The 25,156-nt window shown below is 38.7% G+C and overlaps 1 protein-coding gene and 1 long non-coding RNA gene across 3 annotated transcripts in view; one reads left to right on the top strand and one right to left on the bottom strand.

Moving 5' to 3' along the window:
* SLC26A5-AS1 (SLC26A5 antisense RNA 1) overlaps positions 1 to 25,156 on the top strand; it is a 68,801-nt gene that overhangs the window by 9,480 nt on the left and 34,165 nt on the right. The window lies entirely within an intron of this gene.
* RELN (reelin) overlaps positions 17,103 to 25,156 on the bottom strand; it is a 517,870-nt gene continuing 509,816 nt past the window's right edge. Inside the window, exons 64-65 of one of the 2 annotated variants that reach the window (NM_005045.4) lie at positions 23,703 to 23,708; positions 17,103 to 18,222 (exon numbers count right to left, since the gene is read on the bottom strand). In NM_005045.4, coding sequence (NP_005036.2) covers positions 18,126 to 18,222; positions 23,703 to 23,708 — 103 coding nt within the window. In that variant the 3' untranslated portion in view covers positions 17,103 to 18,125. The remainder of the gene's footprint in view (positions 18,223 to 23,702; positions 23,709 to 25,156) is intronic. The other variant, NM_173054.3, reaches the window with a different exon arrangement.

Below are 25,156 nucleotides of genomic sequence, written 5' to 3' on the forward strand. Positions count from 1 at the left end.
TACACACTGCTTAAATATGTCCCAGAGATTCTGGTATGTTCTGTCTTTGTTCTCATTGGTTTCAAAGAACTTATTTATTTGTGCCTTTATTTTGTTATTTAGCCAGTAGTCATTCAGGAGCAGGTTGTTCAGTTTCCATGTAGTTGTGCAGTTTTGAGTGAGTTTCTTAATCCTGAGTTCTAATTTGAGTGCACTGTGGTCTGAGAAAGTTTGTAATGATTTCTGTTTTTTCATATTTGTTGAGGAGTGTTTTACTTCCAATTATGTGGTCAGTTTTAGAATATGTGTGATGTGGTGCTGAGAAGAATGTATATTCTATTGATTTGAGGTGGAGAGTTCTGTAGATGTCTATTAGGTCTGCTTGGTCCAGAGTTGAGTTCAAGTCCTGGCTATCCTTGTTAATTTTCTGTCTCATTGATATGTCTAATATTGACAGTGGAGTGTTAAAATCTCCCATTATTATTGTGTGGGACTCTAAGTCTCTTTCTAGGTCTCTAAGAACTTGCTTTATGAATCTCACTGCTCCTGTATTGGGTGCATATATATTTAGGATAGTTAGCTCTTCTTGTTGAATTGATCCCTTTACCATTATATAATGGCCTTCTTTGTCTCTTTTGTTCTTTGTTGGTTTAAAGTCTGTTTTTATCAGAGACTAGGATTGCAACCCCTGCTTTTTTTTGCTCTCCATTTGCTTGGAAGATCTTCCTCTATCCCTTTATTTTGAGCCTATGTGTGTCTTTGCACGTGAGATGGGTCTCCTGAATACAGCACACTGATGGGTCTTTACTCTATCCAATTTGCCTGTGTCTTATAATTGGGGCATTTAGCCTATTTACATTTAAGGTTAATATTGTTATGTGTGAATTTGCTCCTGTCATTATGATGCTAGCTGGTTGTTTTGCCTGTTAGTTTATGCAGTTTCTTCATAGCGTCAATGGTCTTTACAATTTGGCATGTTTTTGCAGTGACTGGTACTGGTTGTTCCTTTCCATGTTTAGTTCTTTGTTCAGGAGCTCTTGTAAGGCAGGCCTTGTGGTGACAAAATACCTCAGCCTTTGCTTGTCTGTAAAGGATTTTATTTCTCCTTCACTTACGAAGCTTAGTTTGGCTGGATATGAAATTCTGGGTTGAAACATTTTTTAAGAATGTTGAATATTGGCCCCCACTCTCTTCTGGCTTGTATGGTTTCTGCCAAGAGATCCGCTATTAGTCTGATGGGCTTCCATTTGTGGGTAACCCAACCTTTCTCTCTGGTTGCCTTTAACATTTTTTCCTTCATTTCAACCTTGGTGAATCTGATGATTATGTGTCTTGGAGTTATACTTCTCGAGGAATATTTGTGGTGTTCTCTGTATTTCCTGAATTTGAATGTTGGCCTGCCTTGCTAAGTTGGGGAAGTTCTCCTGGATAATATCCTGAAGAGTGTTTTCTAACTTGGTTTAATTCTCCCCATCACTTTTAGGTACACCATTCAAACACAGATTTGGTTTTTTCACTAGTCCCACATTTCTTGGAGGCTTTGTTTGTTTCTTTTCATTCTTTTTTTCTCTAATCTTGTCTTCTCGCTTTATTTCATTAATTTGAACTCAGTCACTGATATCCTTTCTTCCGCTTGATTGATTCGGCTATTGAAGCTTGTGTATGCTTCATGACATTCTTGTGCTGTGTTTTTCAGCTCCATCAGGTTATTTATTTTCTTCTCTACACTGGTTATTCTAGTTAGCTGTTCCTCTGCCCTTTTCTCAGGGTTTTTAGCTTTCTTGTGATGGGTTAGAACATGCTCCTTTAGCTTGGAGAAGTTTGTTATTAGCCACCTTCTGAAACCTACTTCTGTCAACTCATCAAACTCATTCTCCGTCCAGTTTTGTTCCCTTGCTGGTTAGGAGTTGTGATCCCTTGGAGGAGAAGAAGTGTTCTAGTTTTTAGAATTTTCAGTCTTGAGGCTCTGGTTTCTCCCCATCTTTGGTCTTTGATGTTGGTGACCTGCGGATGGGGTTTTGGTGTGGATGTCCTTTTTGTTGATGTTGATGCTATTCCTTTCTGTTTGTTAGTTTTACTTCTAACAGTCAGGCTCCTCAGCTGGAGGTCTGTTGGAGTTTGCTGGAGGTCTACTCCAGACTGTGTTTGCCTGGGTATCACCAGTGGAGGCTACAGAGCAGCTAATATTGCTGCCTTTTCCTTCCTCCAGAAGCTTTGTCCCAGAGGGGCACCCGCCACATGCCAGCCAGAGTTCTCCTGTATGAGGTGTCTGTCGGCCCCTACTGGGAGGTGACTCCCAGTTAGGGTACATGGGGGTCGACCCACTTGAGGAGGCAGTCTGTCCGCTATCAGTGCTCAAACGCAGTGCTGGGAGATCCACTGCTCTCTTTAGATCTGTCAGGCAGGGTTGTTTAAGTTTGCTGAAGCTGTGCTGGCAGCTGCACCTTTCCCCAGGTACTCTGTCCCAGGGAGATGAAGATTTTGTCTATAAGTCCCTGACTGGGGCTGCTGCCTTTTGTTCAGATATGCCCTGCCCACAGAGATAGAATCTAGAGAGACAGTCAGCCTTGCTGAGCTGTGGTGGGCTTCGCCCAGTTTGAGCTTCCTGGCAACTTCGTTTACACTGTGGGCATAAAACCGCCTACTGAAGCTCCAGCAGTGGCAGACATCCTTCTCCCCGCCAAGCTCCAGCGTCCCAGTTCGATCTCAGACTTCTGCGCTAGCAGCGAGAATTTCAAACCAATGGATCTTAGCTTGCTGGGTTCTGTGGGTGTGGGACCTGCTGAGCCAGGCACCTGAGAGAATCTTGTGGTCTGCCGGTTGCGAAGACCGTGGGCAAAGTGCAGTATTTGGGCAGGAGTGTAGCATTCGTCCCTCTCTCACGGCTTCCCTTGGGTAGGAAAGGGAAATCTCCAACCCCTCGCACCTCCTGGGTGAGGTGATGCCCTGCCCTGCTTCTGCTCTTCCTCCGTGGGCTGTACCCACTGTCTAACCAGTCTCAATGTGATGAACCAGGTACCTCAGTTGGAAATGCAGAAATCACCCGTCCTCTGCGTCGATCTTGCTGGGAGCTGTAGACTGCAGCTGTTCCTATTCGGCCATCTTGAAGTCCCCTCAATTTTGGCTTTTGTTGCCATTGCTTTTGGTGTTTTAGTCATGAAGTCTTTGCCCATGCCAATGTCTTGAATGATATTGCTCAGGTTTTCTTCTAGGGTTTTTATGGTTTTAGGTTTTACGTTTAAGTCTTTAATCCATCTTGAGTTAGTTTTTGTGTAAGGTGTAACGAAGGCATCCAGTTTCAGTTTTCTGCATTTGTCTAGCCAGTTTTCCCAACACCATTTATTTAATAGGGAATCCTTTCCCCGTTGCTTCTTTTTATCAGATTTGTCAAAGATCAGATGGTTGTAGATGTGTGGTGTTATTTCTGAGGCCTCTGTTGTGTTCCATTGGTCTATATATCTGTTTTGGTACCAGTACCATGCTGTTTTGGTTACTGTAGCCTTCTATAGTTTGAAGTCAGGTAGCATGATGCCTCCAGCTTTGTTTCTTTTGGCTTAGGATTGTCTTGGCTATGTGGGCTCTTTTTTGTTTCCATATGAAATTTAAAGTAGTTTTTCCAATTCTGTGAAGAAAGTCAATGGTAGCTTGATGGGGATAGCATTGAATCTATAAATTACTTTGGGCAGTATGGCCGTTTTCATGATATTGATTCTTCCTATCCATGAGCATGGAATGTTTTTCCATTTGTTTGTGTCCTCTCTGATTTCATTGAGCAGTGGTTTGTAGTTCTCCTTGAAGAGGTCCTTCCTATCCCATGTAAATTGTATTCCTAGGTATTTTATTCTCTTTGCAGCAATTTTGAATGGGAGTTTGCTCATAATTTGGCTCTCTAATATTGGTGTATAGGGATGCTTGTGATTTTTGCACATTGATTTTGTATCCTGAGACTTTGCTGAAGTTACTTATCAGCTTAAGGAGATTTTGGGCTGAGACGGTGGGGTTTTCTAAATAGACAATCATGTCATCTGCAAACAGAGACAATTTGACTTCCTCTTTTTCTTATTGAATACCCTTTATTTCTTTCTCTTGCCTGATTGCCCTGGCCAGAACTTCCAATACTGTGCTGAATAGGAGTCGTGAGAAAGGGCATCCTTGTCTTGTGCTGGTTTTCAAAGGGAATGCTTCCAGCTTTTGCCCATTCAGTATGATATTGGCTGTGGGTTTGTCATAAATAGCTCTTATTATTTTGAGATACATTCCATCAATACCTAGTTTATTGAGAGTTTTTAGCATGAAGAGCTGTTGAATTTTATTGAAGGCCTTTTCTGCATTTATTGAGATAATTATGTTGTTTTTTGTCATTTGTTCTGTTTATGTGATGGATTACATTTATTGATTTGTGTATGTTGAACCAGCCTTGCATCCCAGGGATGAAGCTGACTTGATCGTGGTGGGTAAACTTTTTGATATGTTGCTGGATTTGATCTGCCAGTATTTTATTGAGGATTTTCGCATTGATGTTCATCAGGGATATTGGCCTGCAACTTTCTTTTTTTGTTGTGTCTCTGCCAGGTTTTGTTATCAGGATGATGCTGCCCTCATAAAATGAGTTAGGGAGGAGTCCGTCTTTTTCTGTTGTTTGGAATAGTTTCAGTAGGAATAGTACCAGCTCCTCTTGTACCTCTGGTGGAATTCAGCTGTGAATGCATCTGGTCCTGGACTTTTTTTGGTTGGTAGGCTATTAATTACTGCCTCAATTTCAGAACTTGTTATTGGTCTATTCAGGGATTCGACTTCTTCCTGGTTTAGTCTTGGGAGGGTGTATGTGTCCAGGAATTTATCCATTTCTTTTAGATTTTCTAGTATATTTGCATAGAGGTGTTTATAGTATTCTCTGATGGTAGTTTGTATTTCTTTGGGAATCAGTGGTGATATCCCCTTTATCATTTCTTATTGTGTCTATTTGATTCTTCTCTCTTTTCTTCTTTATTAGTCTGGCTAGCAGTCTACCTATTTTGTTGATCTTTTCAAAAAACCAATTGCTGGATTCATTAATTTTTTTGAAGGGTTTTTCATGTCTCTATCTCCTTCAGTTCTGCTCTGATCTTAGTTATTTCTTGTCTTCTGCTAGCCTTTGAATTTGTTTGCTCTTGGTTCTGTAGTTCTTTTAATTGTGATGTTAGGGTGCCAGTTTTGCATCTTTCCTGCTTTCTCTTGTAGGCATTTAGTGCTATAAGTTTCCCTCTACACACTGCTTTAGCTGTGTCCCAGAGATTCTGGTACATTGTGTCTTTGTTCTCATTGGTTTCAAATAACTTATTTATTTGTGCCTTAATTTCGTTATTTAGCCAGTAGTCATTCAGGAGCAGGTTTTTCAGTTTCCATGTAGTTGTGCAGTTTTGAGTGAGTTTCTTAATGCTGAGTTCTAATTTGATGGCAGTGTGGTCTGACAGACTGTTATGATTTCCTTTCTTTTGCATTTGCTGAGGAGTGTTTTACTTCCAATTATGTGGTCAATTTTAGAATATGTGTGATGTGGTGCTGAGAAGAATGTATATTCTGTTGATTTGGGGTGGAGAGTTCTGTAGATGTCTATTAGGTCTGCTTGGTCCAAAGCTGATTTCAAGTCCTGGTTATCCTTCTTAATTTTCTGTCTCATTGATATGTCTAATATTGACAGTGGGGTGTTAAAGTCTCCCACTGTCATTGTGGGGAGTCTAAGTCTCTTCGTAGGTCTCTAAGAACTTGCTTTATGAATCTTGGTGCTTCTCTATTGGGTGCATATATATTTAGGATACCTACCTCTTCTTGTTGCATTGATCCCTTTACCATTATGTAATGGCCTTCTTTGTCTCCTTTGATGTTTGTTGATTTAAAGTCTGTTTTATCAGAGACTATGATTGCAACCCCTGCTTCTTTTTTTGCTTTCCATTTCCTTGGTAAATATTCCTCCATCCCTTTATTTTGAGCCTATTGTGTCTTTGCTGGTGAGATGGGTCTTCTGAATACAGCACACCAATGGGTCTAGACTCTTTATCCAATTTGCCAGTCTGTGTCTTTTAATTGGAGCATTTAGCCCATTTACATTTAAGGTTGATATTGTTATGTGTGAATTTGCTCCTGTCATTATGATGCTAGCTGGTTGTTTTGTCCATTAGTTTATGCAGTATCTTTATGGTGTCGATGGTCTTTACAATTTGATATGTTTTTGCAGTTGCTGGTACTGGTTTTTCCTTTCCTTGTTTAGTGCTTTGTTCAGGAGCTCTTGTAAGGCAGGCCTGGTAGTGGTAAACTCTCTCAACATTTGTTTGTCTGTAAAGGATTTTATTTCTCCTTCACTTATGAAGCTTAGTTTGGCAGACGTGAATTTCTGGGTTGAAAATTCTTTAAGAATGTTGAAAATTGGGCCCCACTCTCTTCTGTCTTGTAGGGATTCTGAAGACAGATCCACTGTTAGTCTGATGGGCTTCCCTTTGTGTGTAACCCGACCTCTCTCTGGTTGCCCTTAATATTTTTTCCTTCATTTCAACCTTGCTGAATCTGACGATTATATATCTTGGGGTTGCTCTTCTTGAGGAGTGTCTTTGTGGTGTGCTCCATATTTCCTGAATTTGAATGTTGGTCTTTGTTGCTACAGTGGGGAAGTTCTCCTGGATAACATCCTGTAGAGTATTTTCCAGCTTGGTTCTTTTCTCCCCTCACTTTCAGGTACACCAATCAAATGTAGGTTTGGTCTTTTCACATAGTCCCATATTTTTTTGGAGGCTTTGTTCATTCCTTTTCATTCTTTTTTCTCTAATCTTGTCTTCATGCTTTATTTCATTAAGTTGATCTTCAATCTCTGGCATCCTTTTTTCTGATTGATCGTTCTGGCTATTGATACTTGTGTATGCTTCACGAAGTTATTGTTCTGCCTTTTTTTAGCTCCATCAGGTCATTTATGATCTTCTCTAAACTGTTTTTTCTAGTTAGCAATCCCTCTAAACTTTTTCAAGGTTCTTAGCTTCCTTGCAATAGGTTATAACACGTTCCTTTAGCTCGGGAGGAGTTTGTTATTACCCACCTTCTGAAGCCTACTTCTGTGAATTCGTCAAACTCATTCTCCATCCAGTTTTGTTCCTTTGCTGGTGAGGAGCTGTGATCCTTCGGAAGAGAAGAGGCGTTCTGGCTTTTGGAATTTTCAGGCTTTTTGGGCTGTTTTTTCCTCATCTCCGTGGATTTGTCTATCTTTGGTCTTTGATGTTGGTGACCTTCAGATGGGGTCTGTGAGTGGATATCTTTTTTGTTCATGCTGATGCTATTCCTTTCTGTTTGTTAGTTTTCCTTCTAACAGGCCCCTCAGCTGCAGGTCTGTTGGAGTTTGCTGGAGGTACACTCCAGACCATGTTTGCCTAGGTATCACCAGCAGAGGCTTCAGAAAAGCAAAGCTTGCTGCCTGTTCCTTCCTCTGGAAGCTTCATCCTAGAATGGCACCCGCCAGATGCCAGCCGGAGCTCTCCTGTATGAGGTGTCTGTTGACCCCTGCTGGGAGGTGTCTCCCAGTCAGGAGGCACAGGGATCAGGGACCCACTTGAGGAGGCAGTCTGTCCCTTAGAGCTCGAGTGCTGTGCTGGGAGATTCACTGCTTTCTTCAGAGCTGGCAAGCAGGGATGTTGAAGTCCTCTGAAGGTGTGCCCACAGCTGCGCCTTCCCCCAGGTGCTCTGTCCCAGGGAGATGGCGGTTTTATCTATAAGCTCCTGACTGGGGCTGCTGCCTTTTTTTTCAGAGATCCCCTGCCCAGAGAGGAGGAGTCCAGAGAGGCATTCTGGCTACAACGGCTTTGCTGAGCTGTGGTGGGCTCTGCCCAGTTCAAAGTTCCCGTTGGCTTTGTTTACACTGTGAGGGGAAAACCATCTACTGAAGCCCCAGTAATGGTGGATGCTCCTCCCCGCACCAAGCTCGAGGGTCCCAGTTTGACCTCAGACTGTTGTGCTGGCAGCGAGAATTTCAGGCCAGTGGAGCTTAGCTTGCTGGGCTCCACTGGGGTGGGATCCACTGAGCTAGACCACTTGTCTCCCTGGCTTCAGCTCCCTTTCCAGGGGAGTGAACGGTTCTCTCTCACTGGTGTTTCTGGTGCCACTGGGGTATAAAAAAGAAACTCCTGCAGCTAGCTTGGTGTCTGCTCAAATGGCCGCCCAGTTTTGTGCTTGAAACCCAGGGCCCTGGTGGTGTAGGCATCTGAGGGAATCTCTTAGTCTGTGGGTTAAGAAGACCGTGGGAAAAGTGTAGTATCTGGGCCAGAGTGCACCATTCCTCACAACACAGTCCCTCACGGGTTCCCTTGGCTAGGGGCAGGAGTTCCCTGACCCCTTGTCCTTCCAGGGTGAGGCAATGCCCCGCCCTGCTTCGTTCGGCTCACCCTCCATGGGATGCACTCACTATCTAACCAGTCCCAGTGAGATGAGCCAGGTACCTCAGTTGGAAATGCAGAAATCACCCACCTTTTGCGTTGATATCGCTGAGAGCTACAGACCGGAGCTGCTCCTATTTGGCCATCTTGTCAGCCACCTCCTTCCTTTTCTTTTTTTGAGACATAAGTCTCTCTCTCTCACCCAGATTGGAGTGCAGTGGCACAATTATGGCTCACTGCAGCCTTTAATTCCTGGGCTCAAGCGATCCTCCCTCCTAAGCCTCCTAAAGTGCTAGGATTACAGGTGTGAGCCACTGCGCCCAGCTTCCCCTTCTTTCTTACACAAAAGTGGCATTCTTCATATATTCTTCTACACTTAGCTCTTTCCACTTAACAGTATCTATGGAAATCACTCCACGTTATGTCACAGAGATCTTCCTTTTTTTTTTTAAACAGCTACACAGTAGTACATTACATATATGTAGCACAGTGTGTTGAAATACTCTCCTATGTTTGGATAGTTATGTAGCTTACAATATTTTGTGGTTACAAATAATGCTGCAATTAATAACTTTGTGCATGTACATTTTCATATTTTTGGAGGTGTAGCTTTAGGATAAATTCCTAGAAGTGGGATCAAGTGTTTGGTGGGTCAAAAAGTAAATGCGTATGTAGTTTTCTTAGCTGTTGCCATAATCCTCTCCTCAGGGCTTATGTCATTTTTCATTCCTACCAGCAAGGTATGAGGAGGCCTATGTTTCACAGCCTTTTCAAGCTTATATTGTCAAGCTTTTGAATTTTGCCAATTTGATGGGTTAGAAGTTGTATCTCAGTGGGGCTTACTTTACACTTCTATTATAATGAGTGATGTTGCACACCTTTCGTATGTCGAAGGGCCATTTTTTGTATGATTTTCCTGAATTATCTATTCATATCTTTTGCTCATTTTTCTACGTAATTTTTGGTCTATTTTTACCTTCAATTTGAAAGATCTTTGTATATTAGGAATATTTGCTCTTTATCTGTGATATGTGTTACAAATATACTCTCAATTTCTCATTTGTATTTTGTCTTGAAAGCATTGTTTTTGCTTAGAGAAAGAACTGCTTATTTTTTAAGGGACACACATGTATTTTTACTTAATTCTTATAATAGTTTCATGAGTGGCTATCATTCCTCTGGTATTACAGACAGACAGGCTAATATTAACCGACTTGCCAAAGAATGTAAAGCTAATAAATAGCATAATATAAATTTTTTTTGTAAATACTTATGGATTCATTTATTATTTTAATAACTGTTAATTTTTCAAACAACATGTGGCAGGCATTGAGACTGCACTAGAAAGTTGCTCACGTGGAATTTACAGACTAACAGTGGAGGAGAAGCCAGAGTTTCGTTAGATAATAACACTGATAAGGCTAACTACCAACTTGGATAAATGCTGTAAAGGTAAAAAAAATCCAGAAGTATGAGCACATTTAAATGAAAAAACTCAATCCAAATCAGGAAGGGGTGGGGGGTGGGGTGTCAAACATTAGGAGTCAATTAGATAAAGGGGTGGAGGTAGGGTGAGGAGCTAGCACCTGCAAATGCCCCGTAAGTGCAAGTGGCATGGCACATTGGAAAGACGGAAACAAGCCTGAAGAAGGCCCAGGTGGATGGAGCACAAAGGGTAGAGTGGCATAAGATACAGCTGGAGAGGAAGGCAGGGCCAGTTCTCTGCTCACTGCAAACTCTGCCTTCCAGGCTCAGGTGATTCTCCTGCCTCAGCCTCCTGGGTAGCTGGGATTACAGGCACCAGCCGCCATGCCTGGCTAATTTTTGTATTTTTAGTAGAGACGGGGTTTCACCGTATTGGCCAGGCTGGTCTCAAACTCCTGACCTCAGGTGATTTGCCTGCCCCAGCCTCCCAAAGTGCGGAGATTTCAGGCATGACCCACTGTGCCGGCTCAATGTGAACTCTTTGAAGAGGTTGAACAGGAGACGACATGATTGTATTTGCATTTTGAAAAGATCCACCATATCACTGCTTGCAAAATGGATCGGAAAGGACCAGAATGGATGCAGCAGGGGACCAAATGCTGGCTACTGTAGTAATTATTATCAATAAGTAGACTGAGAAAATACAAACAGAACAGTAGGCAGAAAACCAGACGAAGGGAAGGGCAAGGCCATCACTAGATGTTATGAGAATTAGAAAGTGGTGCCGCCTCCAGGGAGGCCAAATTTTAAAAATGTTTGTGTTTATCCTGCTTGAAGTTCGCTGAGCTTTTTAGAATCTGTAGATTTATAGATCCTTTCAAATTCAGAAACTTCTAGTTATTTGTTCTTCAAATAAATAATAAGGAGTTCATCGGGTGTGTAAAGTTACCTATTTTATATGTATATTTGATGACATCTTTGGTTCTTTGGTTTCTTTTTCTTTTTTCTTTTTTTGAGACAGGGTCTCACTCTGTCACCCAAGCTGGAGTGCAGTGGCGCAATCTTGGCTCACTGCAACCTCCGCTTCCCGGGTTCAAGTGATTCTCATGCCTCAGCCTTCAGAGTAGCTGGGACTACAGGCACCCGTCACCATGCTGGGGTAATTTTTTTTTTCAGTGCAGATGGGGTTTCACCATGTTGGCCAGGCTGCTCTCAAACTCCTGACCTCAAGTGATTCGCCAACCTTGGCCTACCAGACATCTTTGGTTACTGGTCCATCTTTTCTTGATGAAGTCTGGCAGTTCCAGATAGTATTTATGAAATTTGTCAATTTTTCAATATTTATAAATTTGTAACATGTTGCGATTTCTTTTCTCATTTTAAATATGCACTTTTATACCTAATTTTGTATTTCTCATATTGAGGTTTTTTTTTTTTTTTTCCTTACAGAGATTCTACCAAATTGTGTAAGTTAGCCCACCAAAACCTGGATCTGCCCCAATCCCAAGCAGCATGGGAGGTAATAATGACTTGGGTGAGAGTGTCACCCAAGGAATAGGTGTAACTAACAGGTTATCTCTGGCTTAGGCAGCTCCTCAATATCTCTTTCAGCTGAGAATCAGGTCTATTTTCTTGGTTTTAGAAGCTCGCCTACCAGGCCAGCATGAGCAGGGCAGGGCAGATGTGCCATCGGAGGTATTTAAACTATCAAATGCTGAGCATTTATGTGCACTGAGTTTGAAACAGATCTAGTGGACTAACCTGTAGGTCAAAGTCTTACAGGAAGGTGGGCCCTGGAACTTGTGTCACCGGACTAGCAACTCAATGTCTGATCCATCCAAATGGAAGACTTCAGTTGCCATGGCAATTGACAAAGCTATTTTGCTAAAATACCTACCTCAATTACCTAAATACCCCCCTCAGTTACCTAAATACCCCCCTCAGTTACCTAAATACCCAAAGTCTCTCCATTAAAAACTCATTCTTTTGGATCTGGAAACAGTTCTGGAAGTTTAACACTACTTACTAAAATGTAAATCCCTCAGGGAAAAGTTACAGTTATATTATTTATGTAATCACTAATTATACTAACAATTTTTTGTGAGATATGTAAATGCCTACCACTGTAAGTAAATGCCTACCTTTTCTCTCTCCATTATGAGAGTTGGTTAATCTGTAGGACTGGGGATGAAAGCTGGTTTTCATGGTGTGGGAATTTGAACAGAGTTCTGGTTGCATGAAGGTGTGTATTAGTCCATTTTTATGCTGCTGATAAAGACATACCAGAGACTGGACAATTTACAAAAGAAAGTGATTTATTGGACTTAACAGTTCCATGTGGCTGGGGAGGCCTCACAATCACAGTGGAAGGTGAAAGGCAAAAGGCACATCGCACATGGTGGCAGACAGGAGAACAGAGCTTGTGCAGGGAGAATGCCCTTTTACATCATATCTCAAGAGACATATTCACTGTCACAAGAATAGCATGGGAAAGACCCGCCCCCATGATTCAATTGCCTCCCAGGTCCTCCCACAACACGTGGGAATTGTGGGAGTTACAATTCAAGATGAGATTTGGGTGGGGGCACAGCCAAACCATATCAGGGTGTGTCTTAGGTAGAGAGGCCAAAAGACAGCTTTCCTTCTCTGTTGTTTTGTCAAGCTCCACACATAGAAGGTGCTAGAAAGTAAGTATTTTGTTACAGTTAGGAAATTTAGAGGCAGAGCAAAGAACCAACTTGAAATTGCTTAAAGTATCAACATGAAAGAAATTGTGTTAGAATTAATAGTGATTGAGTTTCTTCTTTAGCCTTTAAGGGAGCTGTTTAGTTTCTGTTAAGGTGATTGTAGAGGTGTTAAAAAATGTCTGACTTGTCTCATTGCATCTGCTTTCTATGGTTAGTAACATTAAGGGAGTATTGTAATAACTTTGATATAAGTTAGTTTACTGTTTCTAGGTTTATGAGGCAATATTTCTTACACACATTTCTGTGCCTTTTTATTATTCACTTACATATCTCCATATATTATTCTACCAGTACTCTCTCCATGAAAAGTTATATTTTCTAGACATTATCTTCTCCTTCTTAGCTGCACTGGCATGAATTCTGGGACAGGGGATCCAGGTGCTGGAATATGGTAATAGGGCCACTGGAGAGTGGCAGACACTCCATTGTCATTACATGGTCTCCCATGTCTATAAAGGCAGCATCGGTTTACAGCCATATTGGATTATTAAAAACAAAACAAAACAAAAAACCAACTATAACCATTTATTTATAATAAACACCCAAAGGACTACATGGAAGAAACAGTAATCATGACAAACCCTCTCACCTCTGAAATGGAATTCTTTTAATAACAGCTGATTTTTTTCCTGAACAATACATACATGCATAGTTACTTTTTGTCTTTATTATTACATTTTGTAGGTGAGCAGTTTGTAGTTACTGTGGAGAAGTATGAATCCTTAGCAAAATTCTTGTCAATTTAAAAGTATTCCTTAGCTGTTATCTCAGGACTACCTGTAAATTCTAGTCTCCCACCTTCTCTTCTTCACTCACTTCAGCCATTCTCCACACCTTGGCCAGAGTGATCTGATCAAAAGTCATCTGCTTAAAACCCTCCAATAACTTCCAGTGAATGCCTCCTGATTAAAGCTGAACTTTGTTAGTATGAGAAATTACTCCCCATCTCTCACTCCTGCAACACCAGCCCCTCCCCATCTTTTCAGGCTGCTTCTTGTAAGCCCCTCAAATCCAATGTTACGCGTCTCCCCTGAGGAGCCAAGCTAGTTCCTGACTTTGCGTTTTTGCACATACTTTTATTTTTAGAATATATCTTCCCACTGAGTCGGCTTGATAGATTCTCCTTATTTTTTGCTATATTTAGATCTTCACGTGAGAATAGAGAATAATACAATAAAAAATTTTGTATGCACGCAATTCATTTAAACCTTAACATTATTCTATTTTACTCTGACTTTTTAAAAAAGGAATAAAACATTTTAGTAGAGCTGAGATCTTCTGCATACACCTCTCTGATCTTATTCCCCTAACTGAGGTAACCACTATCATGAATTTTTAAAACTTTTTTTTTTTTTTTTTTTAAGGGAGAATCTCACTCTCATCACCCAGGCTGGAATGCAGTGGCACAAGATCGGCTCACTGCAGCCTTGCTTCCCAGGCTCAGGTGATTCTCCCACCTCAGCCTCCTGAGTAGCTGGGACTACAGGCGCATGCTGCCACCATGCCAGGCTAATTTTTTGTAGTTTTAGTAAAGACAAGGTTTTGCAGTGTTGCCCAGGTTGGTCTCAAATTCTTGGGCTCAAGCTATCCTCCTGCCTCAGCCTCCTAAAAAGTGCTGGGATATAGATGTGAGCCACCATGCCTGGTTTGTCATTTTAATTATTAATCACTTGTCCTATTACCTTGGCTCACACTTAATATAAACTAATGTTTAAGAAGAGTTTTAAAAAACATTTGTTCATTGCTAGTATGTAGAAATACAATGATCTTTTCATCTAGCAATAATTGTGCTTTGGATAAATCCCACTGGCTATGATACTGCCATTGCACAAAGTTGTAATTGATCTTTTAAAACATATCTTTTTATTGTTTTTGATTGACAAATCATAATTGTACACATTTATGGGGTACAATGTTTTGATATATGTGTACAATGTGGCAGGATTAAATCAAACTAATTAACATATCCTTCACCTCACTTACCTATCATTTTTCATAGTAAGACATTGGGAATTTACTGTTAGTTGTTTTGAAATATACAATAAATTATTATTGACTATAGTCACTTTGCTGTACAACAGATCTCAAAACTTATTCTTTTGTCTATTTGAAATTTTGTATCCTTTGATCAACATCTCTCCATTCCCTCCTTCCCCACCCCCATCCCCATCCCCAGCCTCTGGTAACCATTGCTCTACTTTCGACTTGTAGGAGTTCAACTTTATTAGATTTCACATGTAAGTGAGATCATGCAATGTTTATCTTTCTATGCCTGGCTTATTTCACTTAGCATAATGTTCTCCAGATTCATCCAAAAGCTGTCACAAATGGCAGGATTTCCTTTGTTTTTAAGGCTAAATAGTATTCAATTGTGTATATATATATATACCACATTTTCTTTTTTTGGGGGACAGAGGCTAGCTCTGTCACTCAGGCTGGAGTGTAGTGGTGCCATCTTGGTTCACCACAACCTCCACCTCCTGGAATTAAGTGATTCTTGTGCCTCAGCCTCATGAGTGGCTGGGATCACAGGCACGTACCACCATGCCCAGCTGATTTTTATAGTTTTAGTAGAGACAAGGTTTTGCTATCTTGGTCAGGCTGGTCTCGAACTCCTGGCCTCAAGCGATCTGCTCACCTAGGCCTCCCAAAGTACTGGGATTACAGGCATGAGCCACAGCCCCCAGGCTCACATTTTCTTTATCCATTTATCCACTGATGGACACCTGGGTTGATTCCATATCTTGGCTATTGTGTGAATAGTGCTACAGTGAACATGGGAGTGCAGATATCCCTTGGACATACTGATTTTAGTTCCTTTCGATATATACCCAGAAGTGGTATTCTTGGTCATATGATAGTTCTATTTTTAGTTTTTTGAGGAACCTTTATGCCATTTTTCATAATGGCTATACTAATTTACATTCCCCTCAACAATGAACAATTGATCTTTGTATATTGATTCTGTATCCTGTAATCTTACAAAACCCAATTATTAGTTCTAGTAGCTTTTCATAGATTCCATGGGCTTTTCTATGCACATAGTCATGTTGTTTCCCAATAAAGACAGTTTGACTTGTTACTTTTGAATCTGGATGCCTTTTATTTCTTTTTCTAACTTTATTGCCCTGGCTAGAATCTTTAGGATAAGGTTGAGTAGAAGTGGTAAAAGGAAATATCTTGTTTTGTTCTTGAATTTAGGGAGAAAGCATCTAGTTTTTCATCACTTAGTATGATATCACTTGCAAATTTTTTATTTTTTACTTTTCTTTGAGACACGATCTTGCTCTGTCGCCCAGGCTGGAGTGCAGTGGTGTGATCACAGCTTACTGCAGCCTCAACCTGGGCTCGGTTCAGGCCAGATCCTCCCACCTCAGCCTCCTGAGTACCTGGGACCACAGTGCATGCCACCACACTCAGCTAATTTTAAGGTTTTTTTTTGGTAGAGACAGGGTCTCACTATGTTGCCCAGTCTGGATGTTTATATGTGCCCATTAGACCCAAAATACATGTCTATGGCAGCACCTTCTTCTTAGTATTGTATGTATTGGTTGGTATTTCTGAGTTTCTGTCTAGACTACACATTGAGAAAGAGAACCATGTTTCATTCATGGTAGTTTCTCAAATAATGTACATTAGTATGGTAGATGTTTAATAGATGCTTATCAAAAGAATATTTAGTGCTTAATGAGGTATTTACCCAGTTATCCGTTTATTTTTGTGATTATTAGTAAATACCTTCCTCCTCCACTAACTGTGACCTTCCTTAGTGCAGAGATTGTGTCTCTTTTTGTTCACTATTCCATCTCTAGTGCTCTTGCCCGTGCTTGGCACATGGTATCCCTTAATAGATATTTGATGAAGGATTGCATACACAAAATGACTAAAGTGGGCCATGGTAGGAAGAATCCTCTGAAATCAGTTATTTCTTTCACATTTAAGTGTCTTAAAAGGTGCTGTTCTCCAGTGGATGTATTTGTTCTTTAAAATATTAGTTCATTCATTGTAGGAGTATTTAGGCTCAGCATTAGAGGGGTCAAAAGTATTGAGAAAGTTTGCCATTGCTGAAACCTCTAGTTTTAACGTTTTTTTTCTTATTTTTTTCCTCCTCTTGAAAGTAAAACAAAACAAAAATCAATGATATTAACATACTTTTTATTTTGTAGATGTTAAAATCAAGAAGGGAAAATGTTTCAATCACCATTTTATCCTCAATACTTAGCACAGTGCCTGGACCATAGCAAATACTCAATAAATATTTACTCAATGAACATATGAGTGCTTATGATGAGACAAGCGTTAGCAGCTAATAAAATTCTCAGGAGTGAAGTCATTATTGGAATTATCTATTGACTTTTCTTAGTGGAATTACAGAGTAATTAGCAGAAAAAGGTGAATAAGAGAAAAATGGCTAAATTGAAAATGTGGCTTCTAATTGCTATTATCAATGATGAAACCAAAAACTGGTGCAAATATTTGACATCATAACTTCCAAACTGACCAGCCTTGCAAATCTTACATAAAATTTAATTAAAAATGAATGAAGACCAATGAACTTCAATGGCTTTTGGACATAATTTTTATTTAAGCATGGGCTTTTATAGCTTGGTTCACCCTAGAGTGCAACCTTTCAGTTACACAAATAGCATTCAGAGCTACAGGGCCATTATAATGTTGCTGGTGTTGTACAACTTCATCAGAAGGTATGAATATGACCCGCAGAAAAAACAATCCACGAAGAAAACACAATGAAAAAACAACCACTGTTTTACAAATCACTCTGTTATCACAGACAAAAAATGGCAGTTACTGTTAGTAAATCAGCCACAGAACACTTAAAAAAAGATCTTTAGACAAGGAAATGGGAACTTATTTGTGGGAGATAGGGTCTTCATCCACAATTTAAAGTAGAAAATATTTCAGGGTCAAGCATTTTTCTTATCCACAAAACAACGCTAAACCAACATACATTTTTAAGGAGTATATTAAAGGAGATACAATATCTTTACAACTATCTTCTTGAATAGGTATTTCAATTAATTTTCTGCAGAATATAAGTAGCCCCAAATTCAGCAGCAAAATATTACAACATAACAAGTAAATACAGTTTCAATGTGTTGTATTGTAGAAGAGAATACATAAAGGACAAACAATGATAATTTAATCATATAAAACATGAGACATAGCCGAAATACAGTCCACTTAAATAGCTTTGTGACCAAGAATGTTAAATACTGTGCTAAATGCCATTTTAAACATAAAATCTCTTAAATTTTTTGTGCTTAAATTTCATTTTTCTGTTAAACTGTTTCTTATTGTCAATACTGCCACTGTAACTGATATTACAACAGATCACAACTTTCACGGACACATCAACATGAAGACATTTACTTATGAGCAAATAAGTCACTTGTCATTAGTTCACAGTGTGGGAAAGTGGTGTACACTCGGTCTTGAGAAGGGCTTTCAGGTAATCACCAAGTCCTTCACAGATATTTCCTGATATCAGATGTAGTGCGAGATTTAAAAGAATGGAGAGCAACACATCACATGTTGGAAGAAAAAAAATAAACTTTTTGATTCTTCATGGGTATCGCCTAAGTGACCTTCGTCTTCTGTTGTAGAAATGTCTGAGCCCATGTTGTCGTGAAAAATTCATCATGTAATTTTGTTTGCGAGTGCTGTTAAAATCAAACAGGATAGAGGCAGGGAAGGAAAGGAAAAAGAGCATGTAAGTCCCATCATTGAACGTGCAATCTATTCTAGGTCCTAAGTTACTCTGATATTTGTTTGAAAATTTTCAGGGTTAATAGGTCATGCTCACATTACCACCCAGGGTCAGAGGAACTAAAGGCTGGGACCTATACTCACTGCCTTTGGCCTTGAAGAAATCCCTGTCTTTTCATGAGTGAGCTCTGAACCAGAAAATATGTGAAATTCTCTTGATTCATAGCAAAAGCAAACTGTTTTAAATTTTAATTTTATTCTTGAATGCTTCCTGAAAATATTTACTTAGGTACCTTTCATTTGAGAAGTGTGCTCTATACCCATTGCCTTATTTAAATATATCTTTAACAAGTAGGAAAAATAATTTGGTTCCTTTAGCAAACATTCTCATTTAAAGCTTAAAAACTAAAAACAAAGAAACAGACTGTTAGCTGGATCAGCTTGACATTCCTAGTTCATGCAGTCCCATGAGACAAAATAAGGAGGTCAGTTTTTCTCAGAATGTTGGATTCTCTTGTCTTCCTCAAACCATAAGCATCTGGGTTATATTTTATAAACGTGGCCTTAGGAAAGAGACACTCCACTGAAAAGAGGTCATAAAATACTAAGAAAGTGTAACCAAATGTATAATTGTAAATATGTATGTATGTTTTCCCCCACATATGTACATACACACATTTATACATATATGCTGTGTGTGAAGCTGATAAAAATACTGAAGATGGATTTCAGGATCCTGTAGGAAACTGTACAATACTAGTAGTGACAGCTGTTAATGTTTTGGTATAGTCCTTTAAAAAGGATTGTGAGCTATAACATCACTGAAAGGATCATATTCTCACACTGACCTGAGTGACAATATATCCATATGTGGCATCAATATGTGGTTTATGAGAGTGAGCCTATCAGTATATTTCAAATTCACTGAGTTTCCTCATGGTCCCAAAGCCTTTTCTCCCTAATTCCATGAAGACATAAAATGTACATAATGTCATGTGATGTGATTCCAACATAAAGATCAATATGACATGAACTTGAGTTAGGGTAGGAGAGGGGGGAAAGGGTAATTTTGTTCTGAGCAGTATAAGCTGCATTATCAATCATCAATATGCTAGTAAGGTGTAAAATGATATTTTACCTAGTATAATAGGTATTATACTTAGGCATATTATACTAGCACTTGTAAAATATAAACTTTAAAACAAGATAATTTCACAGTTTCATCATTAGAAAATTTATAATAAAATATCTCAAAGGAAAAGACATAAATTGAATTTCATCAGATATGTATAATCAAAAAGCAATAGCATCTGTGCTAAAATATTGATACAAAGACATCAAATTGATACATATTTTATAAAATAAAAAAGGTACTAATAACATCCCCTGCTAGATTTCAATAATATCAAAATGCTAGAAACAATAAAATGGAAACAAAGAATATATCCTGAAGACATTATAGAGAAAAAGATTTCAAAAAAATCAGGTTTTGTCTTTAGGCAGATTTACTATCCTCCCCCTCCCATCCCCTCCATGTGACAATATTACATGTATCAACTAAGTTGATCAGTTTCAGTGTCACAGTTGAATGACCCAAATTTATCCATTTATTAGCTGCTATAAGTACTAACTGCTGCCTATGTAAAATTGAGTTACAAAAAAACCCCCAAGGAATTAATGTATTGAACTAATCAAGTGTCAAGAAAAATTATCCTGTTGCTCCTTTATTCACAAAATCTTGGGACTGGAACTAGCTGTGTTACTGCCAGCATCCTCAGTCGCCTTATAGTTCTTTCCCTGAGCTATTATAGTGGCCCCCTGAACTAGCCTCCTTAACTTTTTTCCTTTTATGAAAAAAAAAAAAAACTCCACTGAAAGGAAACCCCTGAAATACTAAGAAAGTATAACTGAATGCATAATTGTATACATGTGCATGTATACCTTCCTACACATACATGCAGTTGATTTTGCACACCAGATTCAGTAAACTTTTCCTCAAACACTGGCTTCACTTTGCCCAAAACCATGCAGAATCCTCTTATCTATGGAGCAACAGCTAAGCCAACTTAAACAGACGTTTCAAGTCCTCTTCATGCTTAATCTTATTCTGCCCTTTATTTTTCTACATTCCTATACAAACTGCTCTACTCAAACGCCTTGAGTCCTTTCTACCCGCCTCATTGGCCAGCTGTCAACATCACTTCCTAGATTCTACGTGTTCAAGTATTACATTTTCTTTGTTTACTCCCTCTATAAGTGAACTTTTTTTTTTTTACTTTGAACTCTCATAGTGCTCATTTCCTGCTTTGAAGGAGTTTGTGTTCATATCTTGGCTCCCCACAACTAAACTTTTGTTGGTATGGGGGCCAGTCCCCCAACTCCCCCCACCCCCGCACCATAGCACTGAGCCTCCTGCCTGACCCGTGCATGGGTGGTCAAGGCATGTTTGTTGAACTTATGGTGACTTACTGATTGGATTCCTGCTGTAAATCATTACTCTATAACTATAAGGAATAATTGCAAAGTTAAAGCAATGAAAATTATTCTGTTAAAACACGTTTAAAGGTATAAGGTACTCAAAGAGAATTTAAAATAGTTAAAATATTTTACATAAAAAAAGATGAAGTTAGAACACTCAAGATATTTTGTTATCTCAATGCAACCTAGATTGACATGAAAGTTACCTTAATATATGGGAACAAAAGAACATTCAGTTTTAACAAAACTTGATGTGCTTACTTAACAGCTTTAAAGCAACGTCTCCATATAATTATTTACTTATTATGGAGCTGATTGAAAGTCTCCATCTTTATAGGTGAGAAAATAAATACTAGCAGGTTGCAGATCTTTAGTGCCCTAAAAACTAGTCCAAGGTAGAAGCTTAAAACCAATTTAGGGGACATTTTGAATCACTGGATGTTCTTTTTTTAAATAACATTTTTTTCTTAAAAGATTTTAAATATATTTCTAATTTTTTTGGTAGAGACGGGGTCTTGCTATGTTGGCCAGGCTGGTGTCGAACTCCTGGCCTCAAGTGATCCTGTTGCCTTGGACTCCCACAGTTCTGGGATTACAAGCATGGCCACTGTGCCTGGCCTGGGTGCTCTTTAATTTTGAAAAAGTTTATGTATCAGTATCATATCTTTGGATTCCTGAGAATGTTGATATGCATATAGTAATGGACTTGCTATAGATGCCTAGTGTTTATATAGTCACATTAAAAATGGCAGCTGGGTGCAGTGACTCACACCTGTAATCCCAGCACTTTGGGAGGCTGAGGAAGGCAGATCATGAGGTCAGGAGATCAAGACCATCCAGCTAACAGAGTGAAACCCCATCTCTACTAAAAATACAAAAAATTAGCTGGGTGTTGTGGCACGCCAGGCATGGTGGTACGCGCCTGTAGTCCCAGCTACTTGGGAGGCTGAGGCAGGAGAATTGCTTGAACCTGGGAGGCAGAGGTTGCAGTGAGCTGAGATTGTGCCACTGCACTCCAGCCTGGGGCGACACGGTGAGACTCTGTCTCAAAAAACAAACAAACAAACAAACAAAAAAACCACACTATCAAAGCATCGTGGAAACTAGGTGGTAATTTGGTATGTGAAATATAAAAATCTTTTGAGTCAGTTAGGTTGAAATCTAATGAAGTGGATATTTCCAGTTTATGAGCCTTTGAAAATCAACCATTATGGCAAGCTATACTAAAATGCTGTCTGCCTCTAAGACCACTTAATAAATTGACATGGTTACTAAACAGTTATTGTACCTTCTAAAATGTCTAACAGCATTGGGAATTAGGGGAATTTTTAACATTTATCTTATATTTACTCATTTTTTGGTGTGATATATTTGTGAGCCTATTTTTTGTTTTTGATACATTTTGATGTACAGCTATAGATAACCTTATAACTGAAATAAGAAGTGCAATGAACTTTTAAAGATTTATTTATTCACTGCAATTACCAGAGAAAGTAATTTTTATTTTAAGTTCAATAAAAGGAGGTAATGTTCATCCCAAGGCACATCAGCTATGCCACTTGACATATCAATTTGCTTTGGTTGTGGATAGAACTAGGTCCATTTTTAAATTCTTCCATTATGAGTAAGTAATTGAAAGAAGGGAGAATGAACAACAAAGGCTTCTTGGAAATGATAATGTAAATGTCCATTATTGCCAAGGGAGTTTAGGGACTTAGATGGCATATAGAATTATAACGTGTTTCCTTGTTTCTGCATAGGAAATATGGCCATTGCAAGATCTTTGAATAACTAGTGACTCTGTGCTCTTTTGAACTGTTACTCTTTAAAGGAGACACAATCTTAGTTCATTTATTATGATGAAAACAATTCAATTGATTTTTTAATGGATTCTAAAGGAAATGGAGGAGATAGAGAATTGATACTAATTTGAGCTCATAGAAATATAGGCATTTCTACTTGTCAGTAATTTATCACCAAAACATATGGTAGAACAAATAATGATTTATATGAATGCAGACATAAGAATCCAGTGGACTGTTCAACATATCTTAGAAATATTGGTGAGTGTAAGGCAGGAAGCTGCCATTCAAACTATCACTGAAACTTCCCTGCATAGAGGATGCCACACATTTGACTTAAAGGCCATGCATTTTCAGGAAGGCTATGCATAAATAAGTGCAGACACAAACATCTCACACATACTGAAGATTTCATATTTCTCTTCTCTGCTAAATGGGGATGAGAATAATATCCAATAATGTGCACCTCAGGGAGCTGTAAGGATTAAATGAAAACTAGCACTATATATAGATGTTCAATAAATTATAACCATTTTGCCTTCTTAAATTTTAAAGAATCTCAGAGGACAAATACAAGAATATATTAAAAGTGGCCAATCTTACCTAAGGACAAGATCTAGAACTCCTAAGTATTATGAATACATCTACTCCGTCTGCCAATTCAGTTATTAACTTAGAGGAGAATTGGTAAGTCAAGGGACCCTCATGCATCTTCAGCATAGTAGGTCTTTTGAAAGACATTCCATTTAATCAGAGTCCCTAAATCTTTTGCACACATTTCTATTTTCCCTTGTCCCTCATAACAAATTTATCAACTGTGAGCACTTCAAGGGCACCCAATACGGTGTCAAGCACAGAGCAGAATCTAAGTCAAATCTGTTGCCCAATGATGAAATGCTGACTAGCACTCTGGTCTATGCTGTTGTGCCCTATATTGTATATATTAGGGACTTATCTCAATTTGACTGACTCCGAATTTACATGGAAATAAGTTTCAAATGTTCCACTATATACCAGTATCATTTATTACTGTTTTCATAGATTTTTTTTTTTTTTTAGTTGCAAAGGTGCTTTACAAAACTTCTCAGTTAAGTTTGGTGTCACTGATGAAACTATTAGTAAACAGTTCCCCAGATTTAGTAAGGAGGACTTACCTTACTCTAGTGGAAAACCAATGACAGCAAATAATGAAATATAACACAAGTTAAAAAATGCCTTTCAATGCATGCAGCACTGTGATTAGTCATAAAAGTCTGATCAGGTTTAGACGCAATATAGGATTTTTCATCTCTTTTGAAAATAAAAATTAAAGAAGTTATTTCTTATTCTTCTATACCCAAGATCTACATATACTTTTCTATGTAATGTAACATGCAATATTTGCTCATAACCATATGTTAAGGTACATGTAGCTGTAGTACTACATTTGGCATAAATGTTGCATATAAATTATAAATATTAATAGCTTAATAACTACTAATTTTATTATCTGATTTTTCAATTATTTTACATTGTAAGAAATACTAATTCCTGAATATATTAAGGAATGGGCTTTAAAAAATACAGAAGTCTCCTATGTCAGATAACACAATCATATTTAATAAAGGACAAATATGCTTTGCAACAAATGTAATATGCTCATTTCCGTAAATCATTTGTGCCAAAAATGTGACAGTATCTTGATAATGAAGAGCATGAGGGGATGGTCACGATGGAACTCATTTTAAATTCTGATAAATGCTTTTAAGACCATAGTTAGCAACATAAGGTTTGCAGTTCTCCGTAAATGTGGTATTAATTCACTTTTTAGTAAATTCATTCACGAAGGCTTTTTACTGAGCTTTCAAGGTACACATGCAAAAATTGGCCCACTTCATTATACACATGACAGGTGTGACTTAGACACGTACACAGGAAATGTGATGTGTGAATGAAATGCGAATTGGGTGAGGGAGATTCTTAGGATAGAAGTATGAGTGCCCAACAAAAATGGTTAAGACAACAAATTCTCTTTTATCCTAAGAAGAACCTCACCAGCATGGATCTTGTGAGGGATCTGCCCAGTGTATTCATAAACATATACTGAAAAATAAATATTCTATGCTAGCAAATGAATTCAGAGAAATTAGGTTTCTGACACTTGATTGTCAATGATCGTGTTATGCCACATCATTCAGACTTTATGGAATGAGGACTTTTTGTAAGCTAGTGAGGCTGGAAAAATATTATCTGTCAATTCGGTTAATCTGTTATACGGCAGATTAGCAGGGGCTAATCATCGTGAAATGCTTTTCATGTGCAGGTTTTATTGGAAAATATGAGAGTGGGAAGATTACACTCTCAAACAAGCATGAGAGACTGCTTGTTAAATGCTAAAGGGTGGTTTTCATCTTTATGGTGTGGGGCTTGTCATTCTGTATGTCCATATTTATGAAAATCAAATCCTTCCACATGTATTTTAGAATTAAACCATTTAATTAAAAATACATTACAAATCTTGTTCATTTAGGATACACTTTTAAACCCTGAAATATTGTTGAAAGTGCTAAGTTTGTTCTCATTAAACTTGTGTTTTCTTGGCTAATATGGGCAGTACTGAGGTTAAACT

The sequence above is a fragment of the Homo sapiens genome, chromosome 7, assembly GCF_000001405.40.
Source record: "Homo sapiens chromosome 7, GRCh38.p14 Primary Assembly".
In the NCBI taxonomy this organism is placed as follows: domain Eukaryota; kingdom Metazoa; phylum Chordata; class Mammalia; order Primates; family Hominidae; genus Homo; species Homo sapiens.